Genomic DNA, 20,787 nt, shown 5'->3' with positions numbered 1-20,787 from the left:
AGATTCTTTTCTTGAAAGGTCCAGTCTAATTCCCCTCCCCAGGAAGAGGGATGAGCCTTTGTGGCTGCCTCCATAAATGAAAATGCGATGGAAAGGATGCTGCACGACTTATGAGGCTAAGTCATAAGAAGAACTAAAGCTTCTACCCATTTCCACTTCCTTTTGGGAAACGTGTCTTGGGAGCCCTGAGCCAATATGTAAGAAGTCCAGCTATGTATAGCCACCATGCTGCAGAAACCACACAGAGATAAAGATTCGTGAGGAGTCTCCCCATTTCCAGTTCCCAGCTGCTTGAGTCCTCCCACCTCCCAGAATGAACTGTCAGACATGTGAGTAGAAATGACTCCAGACCCAGCCTTCAAGCTGTTGTCCCAGCTGACACCAAGTAGAGCAAAGGAGTTGTCTCCATCAGTCTAGCTCATATTGCAGATTTGTGAGAAAAAAACAAATGTTGCTGCGTTAAGCCAGTAAATGCTAGGATAATTTGTTATATGACAATGACAAGAGTAACCAGGACACCACCCTTGTGTTATCATTACGTTCTCCCCTTGCTTCTTGTGATGCCCTTGCTTTTCTTCTCTACCAGTTGCTGAGAATTAGAGGAAGACCTTTGCTCCCACCAATGTCAACATTTCTTTACCAGAAAACACAGAGGCATTTAACTCATATTTCGAAGACTTACAGCTTCTTATAATGGCCCTGGTGGTTATACTTTTTGTTCTACTGACTCTATTTTGTTACAGTTACTCTGCCCACAAAGTGCAAGACCCTTTGTGATTATGTTGGGGGACATCAATTCAAATGACACCGTGATAGCATTACTGTCAAATCATGCTTCCCTCTCAATGCTGTTGATGAAGCTGGTGTACCCCAACCCTGTTCTTACAGGTTAAGTTGCTTTTTCCCACTTGAAACATTGTACAACAGCCAAAAGCTTATCTGGTCAGTTTTAATGCGTCCTGCCCCTTCCTAGGACTTATTGCAATGACAAACATATAAGAGCTGTGAAAACTCTGTGACTTACACACAGTAGGCACCTGGTGTTTTAAGTGCTCTTCCTGAAATGCTCACTGACAATAAAACTATTGAACAGATCAGGACTGAAAACATAGCTTTGTTTTGTGCCAGCAAAGACTCTCTTCTCTCCTTTACAGGTTGACATTGAGCCATTAATCAACAGTATGTTCAACAGTAACTAGTGAGTTATGAATCCAACTATGTGCCTCTATTTTATCTCCAGGGGATATCACAAGATGAATCATCAAACACCTTGCTGAAAACATTATCACATTTCCTGTTCTGGTTTAATGTTACCTAACTGGTAGAAAACACAGAAGACTTAATTACATGATTGCTTTTTTTTTTTTTTTTTTGAGATGGAGTCTCGGTGTGTTACCCAGGCTGGAATGCAGTGGTGGCGCAATCTTGGCTCACTGCAACCTCTGCCTCCCACGTTCAAGTGATTCTCCTGCCTCAGCCTCTCAAGTATCTGAGATTACAGGCATGTGCCACCACACCTGGCTAATTTTTGTATCTTTAGTAGAGATGGGGTTTCATCATGTTGGCCAGGCGGGTCTCGAACTCCTGACCTCAGGGGATCCGCCTGCCTCGGCCTTCCAAAGTGTTGGGATTACAGGCATGAGCCACCGTGCTCGGCCTTGTTCTTAATCACCTAATTTGGCCCCTTGCAGTGGCTTCCATAACTGTTACTAATTCTCGGAAACCATCCTTTAATTTATTATTATTATTATTTGGCAGAATCAGGCTCCAAATCAAAATCCAGCCTGTATGGCATCTGCCTTGTCTACGTTAAGATTAAGGGAGACTAAAAGAGGAGGGTAGTTAAATGCATTATTATTTGAGTTTGCATTGAAAATTATAATTATTATTGTTTTACTTAATATCCTGATTTTTAGTGGCAAGAGCTAGAAAATGGCTTAAAAAAAAAAAAAAAAAAACAGGTCTGGGGCTCCAGAGCCGATAGCTCTCACGGCATTATTTTAGCGCCACCTTCACACAAACATCATGCATTGCAGAGGGAAGGAAAATTTTAAAAAATCATAAGCCTCCCAAACCTCAGTTGTGCAACATATATTATTAACTTGTTCTTTTTGAACTGCCTATCCCAAGAGAGGCATTCCAGTTGTAAATGTCAAATCAACCAACAACTCTATGAAACATGTACTGTTATTATCACCATTTTACAGAGGGAGAAATTAAGGCACAACTAGTAAATGGTAGAACTGGAATTTGAATCTGATCAGTGTGATTCTAGAGCATGCACATGGTAACACTATGGTACATAAAACCTCCCGTTTTGTTTCTATATTCTGTCAAAAAATGATGTTTTCAATATAAAAGGGTAAAGTGAACATCAGTAAGAGGAAATGGAAGTCCAAGAGGGAAGAGGTGATTGATGATAAGAAACACTTTCTTTGAAGGAAATCCTGTCTTCTGGACTGGAGACAATTCCAGAATACTGAGAAAATCACCTAAATGTGAAAGTGAAGATCCCTAGGCCCCAGTATGGGCTCACGAAGAGTGTCATAACAGACACACCTCATTTCCTAACAGGCTGTTGTCTAACTGGATTTCAACAAGATCTCTCAGCATACCTGTGTGGACAAGATAAAGAAATATGGCTAGATGCAAAATCAATTATTCTTATGGAGGTTGATACGACTTTACCCTGATGTTCAGATGATTGTCAACCTGGAGCAAGCTTTCAGTGGCAAAATCTAACTAAGAGTTGACTTCAATTCTTTGGCTAGTGCTTTTATTCACTGTTTAGATGAAAATCTTATGTCTCAGTCAATACAGTGCACAGATAACATCAGGTGGAGAGGCTCATACTGAATGCCTGAATTGGAGGATCCCAAAACATGGTAACAGACTGGACCACTGGGCCAACTGAGTGAGGGGGAGGTAACTGAATAGGAGTAAATATGAGGCCCTTTATCCCAAAGTACTAGTCAACTTCTGTTGAGTGACCTGGCACAGCCTGGGCGAGACTCTTAGAGCAGTGCAATCCACAGAAATATAATGTGAACTACATACGTAATTAAAATTTCCTATTAGCCAAATTCTAAAAAGTGAAAAAAACTCAGGTGAATTTTAGTAATATATTGTTTTTAATAATCTATTTTATTTCACCAGTTATATTCAAAATGCTATCATTTAAACATGTAGTCAATATAAAATTGAGACATTTTACTTTTTTTTTATACTAAGTCTTCAAAATCCAGTGTGTATTTTATGCTTCATAGCACCTCTGTTTGGATGAGCCACATTTCAAGTGCTCAATTGCCACATGTGGCTACCAGATTGGACTATGCAGCTCTAGAGGGTTTTCACTGACACTCAGTGTGATGAGACTGCCCCCAAATTATGTCATTCTCAGGCTGGCTGCATTGTTGGAGGAACTGTGCTTAAAGTTATACCACTCAGAAATATTTCATTTCTGTTAATGGAATAAGAAAGGGTCGGGGCTCTTTGACATCTAAACTCATGACGGAAGCTGTACTGGTGCCCACTGCCTGTGACCTGTGTCCAACCCTTCACTGTGAGTCCTGGAGCAATTTCAGTGACTAAAATACTAGAATTTTAAAAAGTGAACACTTACCAAGTGGTGTCTTCTTCTCTTGCTTATCTTTCAGAGCCCTTGGATATCTTTTGTTCATGGTAAAGGTTGCTACTGGAGCCAACAGCAGCTTTTTTTCAAGGAATAGAATAAAATTATCTTTCCATTCCCATTTCTAGTAACACCCATTGGACCTTTTCAAACAGGTTTTAAGTTTCCAAATCCTGTTCCCTTTTCAGTGATTTCTGAGCACTAACATCCATCTAGGATTTGGCAATCCAGCACCTAACCAATAGTGAATGCAGCTAAGGGGCAGGAGTATATGTAAGTGAATAAATCTCTGAGTAGCCCAAAAAGATGTTTAAGATGCATAAAAGACCAAGCACAAAAATATCCCCCTTCATTATCTCCATTTTGCAGATGAGAAAACTGAGGCTAACAAGCTTCCTCAGTCATAGAAATTAAATCTGATTCCAGGCCAAGCATCCTTTCAGCCTCATTGCATAGCTCCCTGGAATGGCTTTTTTCCTTGCAGAACTGAAGACACTATTATCTGTTCTTCCACATTAATTACCTAGCATCCTTCCTCTATGGTGTTTATCTTCCCTTCTTAAGAAAATCTATGGAATTTTAATATAAATCTTTCCAAATTACAATGTGCCTCAGATAAAGCACTTAAAGCTACCTGAAGCTCAGAGTCCAATAATGAAAGAATATTCTTTAACTTATTAAATCACGACAATCTAGACAATGGATAAAAAGGAGTGACAAAGCCCAGGAGTGACAAAGCCCCATTAACATTCTTCTTTGTAGGAAACACATTATCCCTATGGGGTCTTTCTCACCAAGACTAGCAGCTCTAGCTCTTAGTATCATGACTGACCCTTGCATACATCTTGGAAAAATGGGGATTAGTAAGTGCAAATAATGATCAAGACTTCTCCGGGGCTGATATATAAAGGAAATGATGATCACTCCTGAGAAATGCTCAACTAGAGGCAATTCAGTACATAATGAATCTTACAGGTACAAAAAGTCCACTAAACTTACATACGTATTTGTGTGGTTTCACTTGATTTTTTGTTTTTTTAGAGATGGAGTCTTGCTCTGTCACCCAGGCTGGAGTGCAGTGGCACGATCTCCCCTCACTGCAACCTCCACCTCCCAGGTTCAAGCAATTCTCCTGCCTCAGCCTCCTGAGTAGCTGGAATTGCAGGCGCCCACCACCGTGGCCGGCTAATTTTTGCATTTTTAGTAGAGACGGGGTTTCACCCTGTTGGCCAGGCTGATCCTGAATTCCTGACCTCGTGATCTACCCGCCTCGGCCTCCCAAAGTGCTGGGATTATAGGTGTGAGCCACCACGCCTGGTGATTTCTAAGGTATGTATAGCCCAAAGGCAGGGATGCTGCTAGAACTATGCTGATGGCTAGAAGGCAGCTCCACACACAATACGCAACATCAGTTGTTAAACAGAATTGAAATACTCACTAGCAGAGACAAAAAGTCCAAAGTACATGAAAAGTAGAGTGTGATGTGACTATATATGTGAAAATGAGGGAGATTCAAAAGTCAAATGTACTCGTCACATAGCATCTGAATTGGGTGCCATGAGATGAGCAAACATAATTTGCAACTCTAAATTCCTTTTCTAGAACCAGTGGTAGTCCTTGTTCCTAAACAAACCAAAGGCTTTCTAACCATGAGGTCAACTGAAATTATATACATGAAAGGTGCTTTCTAAACAGTAAAGTGTCCATATCAGATTATTATTCCCAAATTAAATGAGAGAAAATATACTTCAAGGACAATTAGATCTTTGTGTAACCTTCATTCATGGACCCCAATCAACCATTCAGTTTCTTCCAAGCTCCTTTCTAGCAGATGCCGTATGTGTAATTGGGCATGGGGACTGGATCTATATCACTCTTTTGCATGCGTGTGCATCCATCTTGCTTGATGGGAGGACAACCCAAATAGCTCACAGAAGAAACAGGAGTCATGAAAAAAATAACAACAAAATGTATTTAAAAACAGACTTCTCCAGTTGGCATTTTGAATGAAATTGCTAACAACTCCAACCCTCTATATTGTGTTTCTTTTGCTCCTGGAGTCCTCTTGCAGCTTTAATTCTTGAAACTCAGGCGGCAGCACCAGACATTAAATCCCCAAAGGGAGAGGTATTAGTAAACCTTTTGCTGGTCATTCTTTTCCGAATGCAAATGGACAAATTCTTAAGCCCTCTTATTCATTTCATGATGATCATTAGATAAAAAAATTAAGCCTAACTTGCATATTGAAAATAAAAACAAAAACACACACAAAAAAACCTTGCAGATAATAAATATCGCTTATTCACTTATTTTAAACAAAGTCCAATTTTATTCACTCTCAATATCCTTGCAGTCCATTGTATACCTTCTGCACTGACCCTTGTTTCAGTAGCTGTTTGATACCTGAAGAAAGAATGAACAAATGACTCCATTAACAAAAAAATGTTACTTTCCTAGCGTTTAAAGAGCATATTTCAAGAAAAAGCTCATAAAAGGCCTTATGACAAACATGGATGTGAATTAAATAACTACCAATCTCCAACGTAATTGCATGTAGGTAACCCCACACATGCACATGTGTGTCCAGGATGATCCCTTGTCTTTTAGGCCCACATACCACATACATGTCCCACAAAGCTCTATGAAATGAGGAATGAGAAGAGGCAATCAAAAGGGAAAGAAAACTCTTCAGCTCAGTCTTCCATTCCTTCTTCTGTATCCTCTTTTCAGTTTTTACCTCCTTCATTGCTCTCCTTTCTCTTACTATTTAGGACCCCCAGTGGGGCCCTCTTCTCAACCAGTCATCCTAGACATGCACCCATAAGCTTCTAATCTTTCTACAGTCTACCTCATCTTCCCTTTTACAGTGTGGTCCAGTTCATTTGTTTTAAGTGATTCTGTTTCACTCCCATATACTCTATCACTCCCTAGGTTTTGAAGCACAGCTTACATAGACTTTTGTAACACAAAGATGCAGGATTTTTAATATATCGCCTTTACAGAGAAAGATGAGTTCATTCCTTAGTGTTCTACTAGCATTAATGATTGATGTCTCATGTCACTGGAGAGTTCTTCTATTGCCATCCTTTTCTCATCTCACACACACACACATACACACACACAAACACACACACACACACACACTAATATGCCATACCTTCTCTCGCTTCCTCTGTTAACTGTTCTTTTGGAAAATCCACATCAAAAGTGATTATCAAAGAGCCCTTGATATTGTTGTTGTCAAAGTTGGGGAGCCCTTCCCCTTTCTTCCATAGCTTCGCTCCTGGCCTGGTGATCTTATCCCGGGAAATATGTACCTAGAAAACCAAAGGGAATGTACTGCAGCAGGAGCGGTACATCTGAAGTACATCACACAGCTTCTAGTGAGCACTGGTACACAAAGCTAATGTCACAGCTCAGCAAAAAGAAAGAATGAAGGAGCAAAGGAAATACCATTAAGACAATGTGAGTCAAGAACAAAGGATTTTAAAGAAGAAAAATCAAACACAAAAACAAGTAAACAAAGAAAGGTTTTCGTCAATAGAAACTATAAGGACAAGATTGTCAAAGGCCGTGCAATCCATTCTGAGTAGCTGAAAGGTCTGGCACTGTTATTGCAGTATGCTCAGCAGCAGAGTAAGTACAGACGGCAGAATACGACCAAGAAAGGAGTCCATCTGGTTCTCAATGACTGAAACAGCTGATACATCTCAAAACTACCCACATAAAGGCTTCAAAAGGATGCAGAACGAGTAAATTGGTTTGTTTACCTTGTGACCATCCAAGTGAGTAATATCCATCTCAAAGCCAACCAGTGACTCAACTAATGAGATTGTCACATTTGTGTACAAATCATCTCCTCTCCTTTCAAATATTGGGTGCCTAAAAACAGAATAAGGTAAAAATCATTAATTTCCAACTTTAAGTTCAAACAGTTGTTAGAAAATTCTTGGAAAAAGGTGAACACCACTCTTTCAAACAATAAACATTTCTTAGACATACTTTTGTGTGTAGTATTAATCGAGAATATAAAGTTGTTTAAGTCTTATTAAATGCTACTGTTAAGGAACACACAATCAGCAAAAGCCAGAGTATAAGTAAAACTATAATCATTAGATTATGGAAAAGAGAGAAAGGCAGCTTCTGGGGAGATCATCTTCAGAAATAGGTCTACAGAAGTTTTCCTGAGCTGGGCTCACAAGACTAAGTTGGCTGTAGAAATGCAGATAAAATGGGTGGAGGGAAGGGGAAATAGAGTGAGAAGGAATTCTGGCAAAGACAAGGAAGGTGTCAGGTTTATTCAGGAAACAACACATGTTCCAGTTTCTCTAAGAAGTGATGATAAAGACAAGGTAGGTAAAGAAGCTGGGGAAAACAACACTGAGATTAAAGAGTGCAGGAAGGCAAAGTCCCAGACAGTGGGGGGCCATTTCTCCATATTCTGGTGGGAACCCTGTTTTGATGACTCCTTACAAAGGCAGAGATATTACTGGTTTCCAAAGTGGTAACAAGAGAGCAACAGTAATCAAGAAAGCTGGAGTCCCAGGCAAAACTGTCTAAGCAGCACTTCATGCTGAAGAGAAGCTCACAAAAGAAAAGCTCTCTTTACAGAAGCTGCATATTATGTAGAAGGTTCTGTCTATGGAAAAGTCTCCTATTCTTGTATGGTGCCATACTTCTTCAGCTAAAATCTCAGCTTTGACTCCCTATCTTGTTTGTTTCTCTTTTATAACTCCTTACTTATCAATTATTTCCTTTCAACATCTTTTGCATTTTTAAGTCCTAAGTAAATAAATAACTGGGGCTCAATCCTAGGGCCCAACCCCAAGTTTTCAGCCTTGTAGAGGAGTTACAAATCATCGTTTAGGGTAATAAGGGTAAGAAACAGAGAAAAAAGTCTAACTGCTCTGGTGGCCACCTACGTCTCTATAATTTGACTCATCTGAGAAGACCTCTAAAATTAGATTACTTACTTGACAACTTTGATTCGGAACCGTAAATCTCCAGGCTCCCCATCCACGTGAGGCTCACCTAGTCAGAGCAGATTACAGCATATTGTAAATCATACAAGTTGAATACCACAAATCTATTTGGCAACTGATACATTTTTTTAATCCACTACTTTGGGCATTGACCTGTCAAATCTGTGACGGCAGTGTCTCTGCCTGGTTGTATCAAGTTTCAGATTATTAGAAATCATCACCTTTGCCTCAGATACAGCAGTACATAACTTGACCCATTTCCTAAACAAAGAATGATACACTGGTCTCCTGAACCTAAGTCTTAAAGCTTTTTTTATTTTTAGAGTTTTAAACTTAAGTCTAAAGGTGAGGTCCTGAGAGCATCTTATTAATGCCAACTAGAGTTACATATCTTCTTTCATTGCTGAATTAAAACTCATTAAGGTCTGAACACCCTAAATTTTGATGAAACTTAGGCTACCTCATAATAACTTTTGGCCATGACATTCAAAGGATAAACGGTAATGCTACTGCTTCAGGTAAACAAAAGGCTTTGTATATCCTAAAATTGGCCGAAGAGTGTTGGAAATTATATATGCGTTTACTATGTGAACATTAAGATGGAGTAAGGCAGGGGTGAAAGGTATTCACAAACAAGCAGAGAGCAAAAAGTTATCACAATCAAAAAATCAAATATCAATATTTCACCTTCTCCAATAAAGGGGTACTCCATGCCGTCTCTCACCCCAGGCTCTATTTCTACTTCCAGCGTTCGTTCTTCATTCACTAGTCTGAGGTAAAGAGAATTAAAAGAGGAGAAAAATAATGAAAATATAAACAAAACATCAGATATAGATAAAGTTATACCTATTTTATCAGAGCTTTTTCTTGGAAGACTGTAGTGTGCCTCTACTTGACAAAACTATCTGATAATCATTTACATCTTCTATATGCTAAAATCCAGGGTGAAGCTACTATACATTTATAAACATATAAGGCTGCTCTAATAGTACAAGAAGGAAGAAAATGAAGCATTAATACTTGTTGAAAATGTATCAGAAATAAAGGGCACTGCTTGTTAGTTCAGAAACATAAAAGGAGATATTTACAAATACTTCAGAAAAAAATGTACATTGTTTTGCTCTATCCTTTTGCAGAACATGGCAGTGGGGAGGGGACAGAGAAAGATCTAGTATGGACCATTAGTGTTTGACTAGATGAACGAAATTAACAAGTGTTTCTTGGTAGAACAAAGAAGGTGCTTTCACTTACTTGACATTAGGGCATTCGTCGCAGACCACCTCCTGGGTCATTTGGAAGCGCCCAGGGCCCAGCTGGGTGGTCCGCATCTCTTGCCGACAATTGCACTTCCGTTTGCCAGGAGCCTGCCTTGCCACAGGTTTGTTTCTAACTACCTAGGAAGTGCATAAACAACATCAGCTTCTCTCTTGTGTAAAACAGCCTTTCCTTTCCTCAATTGATCAAGGCTCTGCACATATGCCTGGACTGAAACTTCCCCTTCTCTGGCAATCTATCCCTCAGAGATCTAAAGCTGACAAAACTCTTTGAAGAGTACAAATCAGCCCCCAAACAGGAATGAAGCAAACACATACTTAAATGACTCAAATTCTAAAGCTGGAGAAGTAGAGACGGGAGTAAGAAACAAGAGAACCGAAAAATAAAGTGTATGATATCAGCATTTCTAAGCCACAACTAAATGCTACTGAGTTAAAGTACTTCATGTAATGATTATCTTTTAGGAAATCCGAGCTGTGTAAAGCATAACCCCTGAGGAACAATCACTACCTTCAAAACCTGGTATGTGGCTACTATCCAATCCTCTGGTTAACCTACTGAAAATGTCTCCTTATTTCAGGAAATGCAATCCAGGACTATTTTCTGGAGCTATCTCCATTCAGATACTTTAACATGTAGGAAGAGAAACAATGACCATCTCTTTGTAGTTGACTGCAATCAAACATTCTGATCCCTCTAAGAATGTAAAATTGATATATATGCAGAAATGTATTCCTAGTTTTGCCTGTTTAAATAGTCAAACATCTAATCACAAGGTATGTGCTCACGCAGCAGAATGACGAATGCTTGGAGAAAAATCCTTTAAAGCCTACCAACATATGAAAGGCCCAGGTCAACAGAGTAAATTATAGCAACAATAACAGTAATCAGAGCAAACATTTTATAGCACTTACTACATGCCAAGCCATGTGCCAAACACTTTTACATATTCATTTAACCCTCACAACTCTATGAGACAGGTACTGTTATTATCCCCATTTTACAGGTGAGGTAACAGAAGTATAGAAAGGTTAAGTAACATGACCAAGGCCACATGACTAATACATGGCAGAGCCAGGATTCTAAACTAGGCAGTCTAGCTGCAAAGTCCATGCTCCTTAACCATTGTGCTATCCTATTTCTCAAGGTATTTTTTTTTCTTTAAAAAATAATTTACATACAGAAGGAGCAGGATTGAAAACAAGGAAAAAAAGAATTTAGCATGGGGTTACTGAACCAGCAAAGCCATTTACAGCCTTTACAATAGTTGGATTAAAAAAGAGTTTGTTCGGGAACACACTAACAGCAAAAAGTGATGTCTACTGTGTATTAGTGACAACTGCAGAACAGGCTTGGAAGGGAACATGGGCGCTAATTAGGCTCACCTCTTTCCTCCCATCTAAACAACCTCACTGGTTTATGAATATTTTTAATGCCCTTTTCTCCTGCAGCCTCAACAGTATTACAAGTCAGTTGCATCTTCTGTGATTGTCTATATCTCTTCTTTCAATTATTCAGAGAAGCAGCTACAACTAAGAAGAATACGCTTCTTGTCAAGATGGCACATATGCACAGGCTACCGGCTGTCTCCTCCAGTATCCTGGAAAAACTACAAGAAAACATGGATTCCAGGAAACAGTAACTACAGCACAGAATATATGAGAAAATCCCACAGATAGAGGGCTGTTTTGAACTGTTTCCCATGACTGCAGAAAACAAAAGACTCCAGACAGCAAACAAAACAAAAAACACCCCAAGACACCAAACAAAACACAGTTAAAACCAGTGGGCCAGGGCTCAGCCCATGATGCTCTGCAGGGAAAGGTAGTTGCTGGTACCTGTAAGGGAATATCAGCTCAAAGGCCAAGACAGCTAGATACCTGAGAAGGTCTATCATCTGCCCCACAAAAGACAACAAACTGAATAACACATATATTTTAAGCAACTGTACTTTGCTTAAAAAAAGATTAGACAGACCAGGAACTTAAAACAAGCATGATAATACTTAAGGAGGGAAGGCATTAGTAAAATGATATAGAGTAAGAAATAATGCAAGAATCAAGTAGAAATATTATGCATAAAAATATGAGTTGAAATTAAAACACAGCAGATGGGTTATTATTAGAATGGATATAGCTGAAGACTGAAGTAGTAAGCTGGGAGATCAAAATGAGGTACCTCCCAGAAGGAAGCAGTGAAGGATAAAGAAAATTTATTTTTTGTATTTAAAAGAAAGTTAAGAGCAGACAGAAGTAGGAGTGATAGAATTGTAAAAAATAATGAGACATATTTTCCAGAATTTAAAAAAGATGAATAACCTCATATTAAAAGATCCCAGAGTTTTAGCAGAAAATATAGGTGAACAGCTTTCTTATTTTATTTTAAAATTTTTTTCCAGAGATGAGTTTCAGTTATGTTGTCCAGGCTAGAGTGCAGTGGCTATTCACAGATGCAATCACAGGACATGATAGCCTCAAACTCCTGGCCTCAAGCAATCCTCCTACCTCAGCCTCCTGAGTAGCTGAGATTACAAGTGTGCTCCACTGCACATGGCTGCTTTCTTATTTTAGAACAAAAACGAATTTCTTTAAAAAGACACAAAAACTAACCATTAAAGACTGATAGATTTAATTACATTAATTAGTTCTGTTTGCTGAAAATTGAAATAAATCTTAAACATAATGAAAAGACAAGTTACAAACAGATAGCCTATATCTGCATTACATACAGCCAACAAAGAATTAGCAGCAAGAGTGAAGTACTCTTAGAAATCAATAAGCAAGAGGCAAAAGAAAGAACAGGCATTTCACAAGAGAGGAAACAAATATGGCCAATAAACACAGGAAGAGATGCTGATCCTAATTGGTAATTTAAAAAATGTAAAACAAGACCATAATGAGATATTTTATACCCATTTGATGAGCAAAAATTAAGAAGTCTAATAATTCCAAGTATTAGTGAGGCAGTGAATCTATAGGATCTCATAAATTGCATGTAGAAGCATCAGTACAATCAATTTCAAAAGCAATACAGTATTAACTTGTAAAAATGAACATTGGTTCATATTACCCAGCAATTCTACTCTCAAGCATATCCACCCAAGAGATATTCTTGTTCATCTGAACCTGGAAATATGGATTAAAATGTTCATAAAAGCGCTGTTTGGAATTGAATAAAACTGGAAGAAACAAAAATGCCTATTAATAAATTATGGTCACAATATAGCAATAAGCAACAAGGGTGAATCCTAGTAACATAATAGTGAGTGAAAATAACCAGTCCCAGAAAATAATGAATAAAATACCATTTCTAAAAAATCAAAAACAATATAATAAACAATATATTATTCAGGTATTCATATATACATGATAAAGTAAGAATGGCAAAAGAACAATAAAGACATAACTCAATACAGTAGTTACCTTTGAAGGGAGGCAGGGTAATGGAACAGGGAAGTAGCATGTAGGTAGATTAAGTCATGGTAATGTTTTACTTAGTTCTTAAGCTGGGTGATAAAACAATGACATCAGTGTATCATGAACCAAGCATTATAATTAATTCAATTTTGTGCATTTGATCACTCTCTCTTACCCTCAAAAAGACAGAGAAGGTACATATAAACCTCTTATTTTTAGTCAAAAGTGCAAGTTCTGGGAGTCAATATGAACAGCTATATTGTTTGAACTTACTTCCACAAAATTTCCTGCATATACTTCTTCCAAAGTGACTTCTAGATCTACAATAATATCACTTCCTCTTGGAATATTTCTGTCTTGCTGACGAGGGGTTCCTCCAAACATGAAACCAAAATCCCCAAAGAAGCTAAAGATAAGTGCAAAATCATCAGGAAAAAAAAAAAAATCAAGACTCTATGTTTCACAATTAACTCATTTTCTTTACGTTGATAAACTATTGTTTCTATCAATGCATTGTGCAAAACTACAAGGTATTTTTTAATACAATGGAGTCAACTATCATACATAATTTTAAATTTATATACTATCAACCATGTTGTAACTATACGGTCCCTTACTACAAAAAAATCCACTTTTTAACAAAATATAGCCCATACATATAGTACAGTACATACACACACAGTATGCCAATGAATTCAATGTTGGACCCAACCAATGAAATAATAATCTTTCAATATTGGGAAAAATCTGAATATGGTGGACTTATTGAGAAAGAGTATAGTATACATAAACTTGTGTAATGCTAAATGTAATGGTTAATTTAAGAAATTTTTATCGGTAATTTTAACATATGTAGTGTTCTCTTTACATGCTTTTTAGAAGCTAACTTGTTGAAAGAAGCTACTGCTCTACACAAAAATCTTGAGTATGTAATTAAATAAGCTAAAAAAGCATCAGCCTTAGTAAAATCCTAGTGCTTAAGGAGAAGGAAGTTCTAGCCTCTATAAGACCCAAACTAATTTTTGTAAGTAACAAGAGTAACTTGAGATTAACAAAAAAGGTGACCTTCAATCCTACAGGTGGTTTAATCTAATGTTAATTTTTGGTGTTATTAAGAAGCCTTGTATATTAGCATAGCGAAGATGATAACTATATAACTCCCTCTCCCACCAACCAACTCAGGTGAATGAATTCCCTGAATCTTAAATAAAGGCAAGGGGAAAGAACAGGGTGGGGGCTGGGGAAGCTGTTTCTCTTTCTGGTATTCCCTAGGGATCACTTCAGCCAGCCAAATTGATCCTGGCGGGGGGAAAAGATGTCCTAATCATGTTACTCACACATCTTTACAGACCCTAAAAATCTACTCCCCCACCCCAGGCCCCTCAACCAAGCACTAAATGGTGGTAACTACTATATGCAACAGTGATTCTTACTTCTTTTGGGGAAGGGTTCACAGAACCCTTTGAGAATCTGAAGAAAACAATGAACTCTCCCCATAAAAATGCAGATTCGAACATCTTTTTGTTTATAATTTCAGACCTGAAACCCCAGATTAAAGTCTCTTAGTATATGTAATCATCAGGGAATGTGGAAATTCAAATGCTCAATAAAGAGAGGTTCAAAGAGTGAGGAAGAAAGTGTTTATTATTCCAACCACCCAGCACTCCCAGAAAGCAAGAGATAAAGGTCCTCTACCCTAATTCCTTCCCCTAATGCTGGTTATTATAATCACCCTCACTTGTTGATAGCACGAAAGAGAGGCAGCTCTGGGTATGGGAGCAGGAATTTTTCTATCTCTGCTAACAATAATTTTGCTCATTAAGTGGTTTGCAGATTGCAAGGTAGCAAGTAGGCAAGGATGAACTGATTTCCAACACATGTCCCCGTGAATTGTCTGCACTGATTTAACTGATATGGTTGGCTAGATGGAATGTCCTTTCAGTGCCATCAGTCTTTCCTGAAGCTTTGTGAAAATAGAAGACTATCTTCCCACAGGGAGGACAATAATTGATCTTTGGATCAGCTAAATTGTACTGTTCATCAAAAGTTTCTGAACTAGGGAATGAGAATAATTCTTTAATCGCTAAGTGACCCTCTCTCAGACACTAACACTTTGCAGATGGGTAAATTACTCACTGTGAAAAAATGTCTCCATGGGAGCTCTGATGACCATCTTTTAATCCTTCTTCACCATAAGTATCGTACTGTTTCCGTTTCTCACTATCTGACAGAACCTGGGGATAAAAGCCAGTGGAGGAAAAGATCATGAGTTGGTAATATCCAGTTAAGGCACAGTCATATTTATGTTTGTTTTTACTTTGACAGTGGGTCTAAAATTTTAATAGAATGCAGTTTCCATTATGTACTGTATTAAGGCATATTTACAAAGTTATTTTCTCTAAGACTAAATTCTTTGATGCACTGTTCATTCCACATTGCTCCATTCATGTTTTTAATTTAAAGTTCTCAAAACTCGTGTAGTCACTAAAAAATAATACCTGAGATTAGCAATGCAGCTGTGAAGGTCAGGGTGGTGACAGGAAAGAGTTAAGACGGATTCCTCAGGTTTACTTCCCATGCAGTTTGACTTTGGTGCTTATGCTGTTAACCACTATACTGCCTTCAGAACAACTTGGCCCCACAGGTCTATAACACCCCCTACCCAAAACACACACACACAGACACACACACACACACACACACACGCGCGCGCGCGCGCATGTATTAGGAGATTGTCAAGTCAAGGAAATCAAATGACAGGCCCTCCAGAGAGGCCTACACTGATATCTTTTCATCCTCCTTTTTTCATTTTTTGGTATATGCAGAAATCCATTTGTGGAAGAATTTTGCCTGCCATATATATATATGTTTAAGTTTGTAATGTCCTGAGTTTGAAATGCAGAAAGAGTAGTAAGTAAAAATACTCTATGAAGGTTATTCAAGGTCAATTTCATTGCTTGAAATAATTCTTGAAGTTTTAAGTTTCAGAGAACTACATACACAATCATGACTATATGCTTTCTCTCTGTATATTAAAGAATGTAACAACAAAATAAGCTTCCATCCTTTTCAAAATTTGCCTTCAACATGCAAAAAAAAACTTTCTCTTTTATTTAGAGCAATCTGATATATATGCACATATATACTTGTGAAAATTAAATGGCTTTAAAATCTTCCTTTGATATTTATAAACTCCTACTTAGACAAGAGTCTGAAGGAGAGAGTTATTTCAAAACCACACTCATGGTGGCCCAGAAAAAGAGAGGTTCAAAGTAGACGGGGCTTGTTGACTTAAAAGAAAGGCATATTCACACAGGACACATTTTTGGCTTAGGGCCCAAATGAGGTGTAAGGAGTCATGGCAAAAATGTATTAACATTTAAGATATCCTTGAAAGGATAAATAGAAATTGAGTATACAAGAGAGTGAACATTCTTAAAAGCAAAGGCAAATGGGTTATTCCAGAAGTGACCACAGTACTTGATTACAGCCACTATGAAAGAAAAAGGGAGAGGAAAGCATGTTTTCACAAGTATCTTTAGAAAATAGGTACTTTGGGGAAGCAGAAATGGGCACAATTAACTTGAAAAAAAAAAAAACCCTTATTATTAACTGGATCTCCAATATTTTCACTTTTAGTCTACTTCTCTGATCTGATCTTCACAAATAAATGAACCCTGCATTTGAGACTATAAAAAACACCATTTCAAAACCCCCAAAGACTAGTTTTAAGTCAGTTTCTTTTTAGACATCAGAGGCTTCTGTAATAACCCCCTAAAAACTACTCTTGAAGTCATTATCATTTACTTCCTCCTCACTTTTCTTCCATCAAGGAATGCAATTTTATTCTATGGTCTTGGAAACTATTTTAAAAGAAAAAAGGTTTTTAGTTGATTGGCCAACCAATACACAGATTCTCAAGTAATTAAAATGCCAGCAGTGATCCTAGCTCTGTAGAGAAAACAAATTTGTATTCACAAAAGATTCTTCATAACTGTACTCGGATTCTAATTTGTGAACACTAATTTACCTAAGACTAAAGGCAATCAAGCTTGAATGATAAAAAGAAAACAGAAATTTGAACTAGTGGCTAAAAGGATTGTTATAGTTAAATAAGCCACGATTTCATGACTGACCTTTGTATAGCCTGCCTAGGTCATTGATAAAGAACGTGAAGATTCTTTAGAGAGCATGGTAAATTCAGCTTCCCTAGAAAATGTTTTTGAGTATTAGGTTCCTAGCAAACAAGGGGACTATTCATGGAAAATACAGTGCAAAATATAGAATGCATATTATCAACAAGAAACAAAATATTACATATAATTTAGGATGGGCCATTAACCTTCCCAAGTTTATTGATGTGCCTCAGGTTAAGAATTTCTGTCCCTTGGCCAGGCACGGTGGCTCATGCCTGTAATCCCAGCACTTTGGGAAGCCGAGGCGGGTGGATCATGAGGTCAGGAGATCGAGACCATCCTGGGTAACACAGTGAAACCCTGTCTCTACTAAAAATACAAAAAATTAGCTGGGCATGGTGGTGCACAGCTGTAGTCCCAGCTACTCAGGAGGCTGAGGCAGGAGAATGGCGTAAAACCCAGGAGGCGGAGCTTGCAGTGAGCCGAGATCGTGCCACTCTACTCCAGCTTGGCAGACAGAGCGAGACTCTGTCTCAAAAAAAAATAAAAAAGAATTTCTGCCCCATAGGATCCCTGAAGGTGTTGAAAGATGAAAGGACCCCAACAGCTCTTGGGTTCACCTGGGTATAACTCACTGTTTCAATTCCATTGCTTCTTTAATCTAGAGATCTTGGGATTCCTTCCTTTCAAGGTTTGTGTCTTCCTAAAATATTTTTCAATTTGTTTTTAGCCTTCTCAATATACAAGAATTTAAACTTAAATTCAGGAGTTTTAGCTCTATGACTTTTAGTTCAATTAATTTTTTTCTGTGTCCATTTAGAAAATGAGAATAAAAATATGCCTAGCTCTAATATATTTCCTGGTGTCCTAGTGAAGATTAAATGAGATGATACACATGAGAGTGTTTTGATCCCCAGATTAGAGGTTGCAAAATCAAATTAAAACTGTGCTCTGTTTGATTTATGTAAAAAAGAAATTTAACTGAATTAGTTACCAACACTTTTACAAGCAGAACTCATATAAAAAATCTAGATTTTCAACTTTTCTTGAAAAATTAAATCATCCAGGAACATACTGTTTGCATTTGTATGACAAAAACTGGCTGGGGTTGAGTAACAGCTGCTCCCTTGAAATGGGGCCAGAAGGCTTCAGTTTGTCAAAGTCCTCAACAATCCTTATTGCTTCCCAATATGGAGGCAGAATATCTGCTGCCATGTTTTAACTTATACCTGCCCTGCATGTTATTTGTCTAGTTCATATGAACATGCAGGTTTGCAACTCTCATGAAGGCTTTCTTTTTATTTTTGGTTCTAGCTCCCAAACTGATTGAACGACAGACCAATCAGTTGATCTACTTATTAATCTATAATAAGTTCAAGACTAGCCTGGCCAACAGGGTGAAACCCTGTCTCTACTAAAAATACAAAAATTAGCCAGGTGTGGTGGCATGCACCTGTAATCCCAGCTACTTGGGAGGCTGAGGCGGGAGAACTGCTTGAACCCAGGAGGTGGACGTTGCAGTGAGCGGAGATTGCACCACTGCACTCCAGCCTAGGCAATAGAGACTCAGTCTCAAAATAAATAAATAAATAAATAAATGTGAGCTGAAAGGAGTGTTTCTCTGTATTGTATGTTTTTTCTAGAGCTACAGATTTTATTCGTACTTTATCACTTTTCCCAACTCACCTCATAAGCAGCACCCAGATCCTGGAATTTCTCCTGGGCTTGTGGATCATCAGGGTTCCGGTCGGGATGAAGCTGCAGGGCTAGTTTCCTATAGGCCTTTTTAATATCCTTTATAGAGGCACTTCGAGGCACCCCCAAGATCTTATAGAAATCTCGTCTGGGAAGTAGAGGGAGAGAATACTTCATTAAAGAGTTACATGTTACATTTTTCAAAGTAAAAGATTTATTTTTCCTCTACATTTAGGTTTGTATCTGAGCAAAGAGGTATAAAAATGAAGGTTTATGTGACACATACACACACAAAGAATGACTAAAGAGAGAACACCAGAATTTGTAATGAATCTTATATATTGAAGTAATCACAGTAAGAGGCTATATACTTCTTTTCGGATTATTCAAAACATCTGTGGCACTTTTCTTTCAGAACCACCTTCGGTCAAGAAAACCACTTCCTTATTTTATGGTCTCATGTTATCTTTAGGCAATAACCATATAATCAAATTAACTCTTCCCCCCTTTCCCTATACTGGCTCCAAATGATTTTGACTTTTCTAAAAGTCAAATAACACTCTCAAAGGATGATTTTCCTTCTTTAAAAAGATTATGCCACATAAATGTCCTAACAGTAGCACTGCCAGAATGTTAAAGATGAAGCAACTTAAGATAATAAATAGCTCAAGAAGCTGGGAAGTACAAGGGCTGTCTAAAGATCTTCTTGTTCCCATCCCGCATCCAATTTCGTTCAGTCCCAACTCGGGCTGGCATCATCCACCCACTTTAATGTCAGCCCCAGAATGGCTCTTCGAAGGCTTGGCATAGAGCATCGTCCGCTTCTCCACCTCAGCGGGGCACAGCAACTCACCTCTTTGATCAAACAAACGTCCATCCCCTCAACCTCAGCCTGGCACTGTCACTATCTTTCCTTACAGTCAGGCATCCCTCTTTCTTCCCCAGCTCTACGTGACACTGCTTCAGCTCGCAACCACCTTCTTTCCCTCATCCCCCAAATGCCGTTTGGCAATGCATCCAACTCCCACTCCTCTGGGCAAATCTAGCTCTACCTAAGACCCTCTCTGGACCTAAGGCCCTCTCACTGGTGTCACCCACGGTTCTCCTCTCACCCCACTAGCCTGGCCCATACTACCCCTTCCTCCGCCACCCCGCCAACCCACAGCGATGCCCCTCTCCACTCCGTCAGTCTGGCAATGCCACTTCCCCCACCCCCTCCCACCCCCCAGCAAAGGCTGACCCACAGGCCCCGTTGTCTGCGAGTGTCTGTTCCTCACCCGGCAATCACCGCCCCGATGAGGTATAGCAGCAACAGGCAAAAGGTGCTCAGGTTCTGCGGAGCCATGGTTCCTCTGTCCCGGGTCCTGTTCCACACACTCCTCACAGCCTCCTCCGCCGCCGCGTCGGCTCGCCAGCCCACCCGGCCCTGTGAGGCCGCCTCACACCGGGGGGGCGCGGGGGTCTCCTTGGTCCGCAGAGACAGCTAGCTAGCCCCCTCTTCTGCCGGTCCACTTCCCGGGAGTCCCGAGTCCCGGTGAGAGAAGCCCCCGGTAGGCGAGAGCCAATCGTTGCCCGGGACATCACACGCGGCCGGCGCCTGGAAGCCAATCAGCGCAGTACACTTCACCTCCGAGGCGGCACGGGCAACCAGT

At 39.1% G+C, this 20,787-nt stretch overlaps 1 protein-coding gene across 8 annotated transcripts, besides 1 other annotated feature; it reads right to left on the bottom strand.

Annotated features, from left to right (window-relative positions):
- On the bottom strand, positions 5,585-20,658 carry DNAJB11 (DnaJ heat shock protein family (Hsp40) member B11). 8 transcript variants are annotated; one of them, NR_165640.1, is made up of 11 exons: positions 20,413-20,658; positions 19,127-19,283; positions 15,441-15,538; positions 13,578-13,710; positions 13,311-13,393; positions 9,865-10,007; positions 9,301-9,383; positions 8,605-8,662; positions 7,402-7,513; positions 6,789-6,948; positions 5,585-6,034 (listed from the first exon to the last, which is right to left on the bottom strand). NR_165640.1 is itself a non-coding variant. In NM_016306.6 (10 exons), the coding sequence occupies exons 1-10, from the start codon at positions 20,478-20,480 to the stop codon at positions 5,970-5,972; spliced, it is 1,077 nt and encodes a 358-aa protein (NP_057390.1). In that variant the 5' UTR covers positions 20,481-20,658; the 3' UTR covers positions 5,585-5,969. The 8 variants fall into 8 exon arrangements, 2 of the variants coding, with proteins under 2 accessions (NP_057390.1, NP_001365380.1); NR_165638.1 differs by lacking the exon at positions 13,311-13,393 and having other exon boundaries at positions 9,865-10,003; NR_165641.1 differs by lacking the exon at positions 13,311-13,393 and having other exon boundaries at positions 13,578-13,678.
- Positions 20,407-20,646: a silencer, noted in NCBI's record as "silent region_14987". NCBI's record gives its function as "represses an Ori minimal core promoter by ATAC-STARR-seq in GM12878 lymphoblastoid cells {active_cell/tissue: GM12878}" and the evidence as "EXISTENCE:reporter gene assay evidence [ECO:0000049][PMID:35858748]".

The sequence above is a fragment of the Homo sapiens genome, chromosome 3 (assembly GCF_000001405.40).
Source record: "Homo sapiens chromosome 3, GRCh38.p14 Primary Assembly".
Classification (NCBI taxonomy): Eukaryota; Metazoa; Chordata; class Mammalia; order Primates; family Hominidae; genus Homo; species Homo sapiens.
This window is presented reverse-complemented; position numbering and strand designations above follow the sequence as displayed.

What these genes read in the sequence shown, in the direction of transcription:
- DNAJB11 (NM_016306.6), bottom strand. Translation starts at nt 20,480, where the DNA reads ATGGCTCCGCAGAACCTGAGCACCTTTTGCCTGTTGCTGCTATACCTC. An exon ending in CATGGAGACATTTTTTCACA is followed by an intron (nt 13,711 to 15,440) that starts GTGAGTAATTTA and finishes ACTTATCTTTAG; the next exon opens with CTTCTTTGGGGATTTTGGTT. An exon ending in GTACCCCTTTATTGGAGAAG is followed by an intron (nt 8,663 to 9,300) that starts GTGAAATATTGA and finishes TGCTCTGACTAG; the next exon opens with GTGAGCCTCACGTGGATGGG.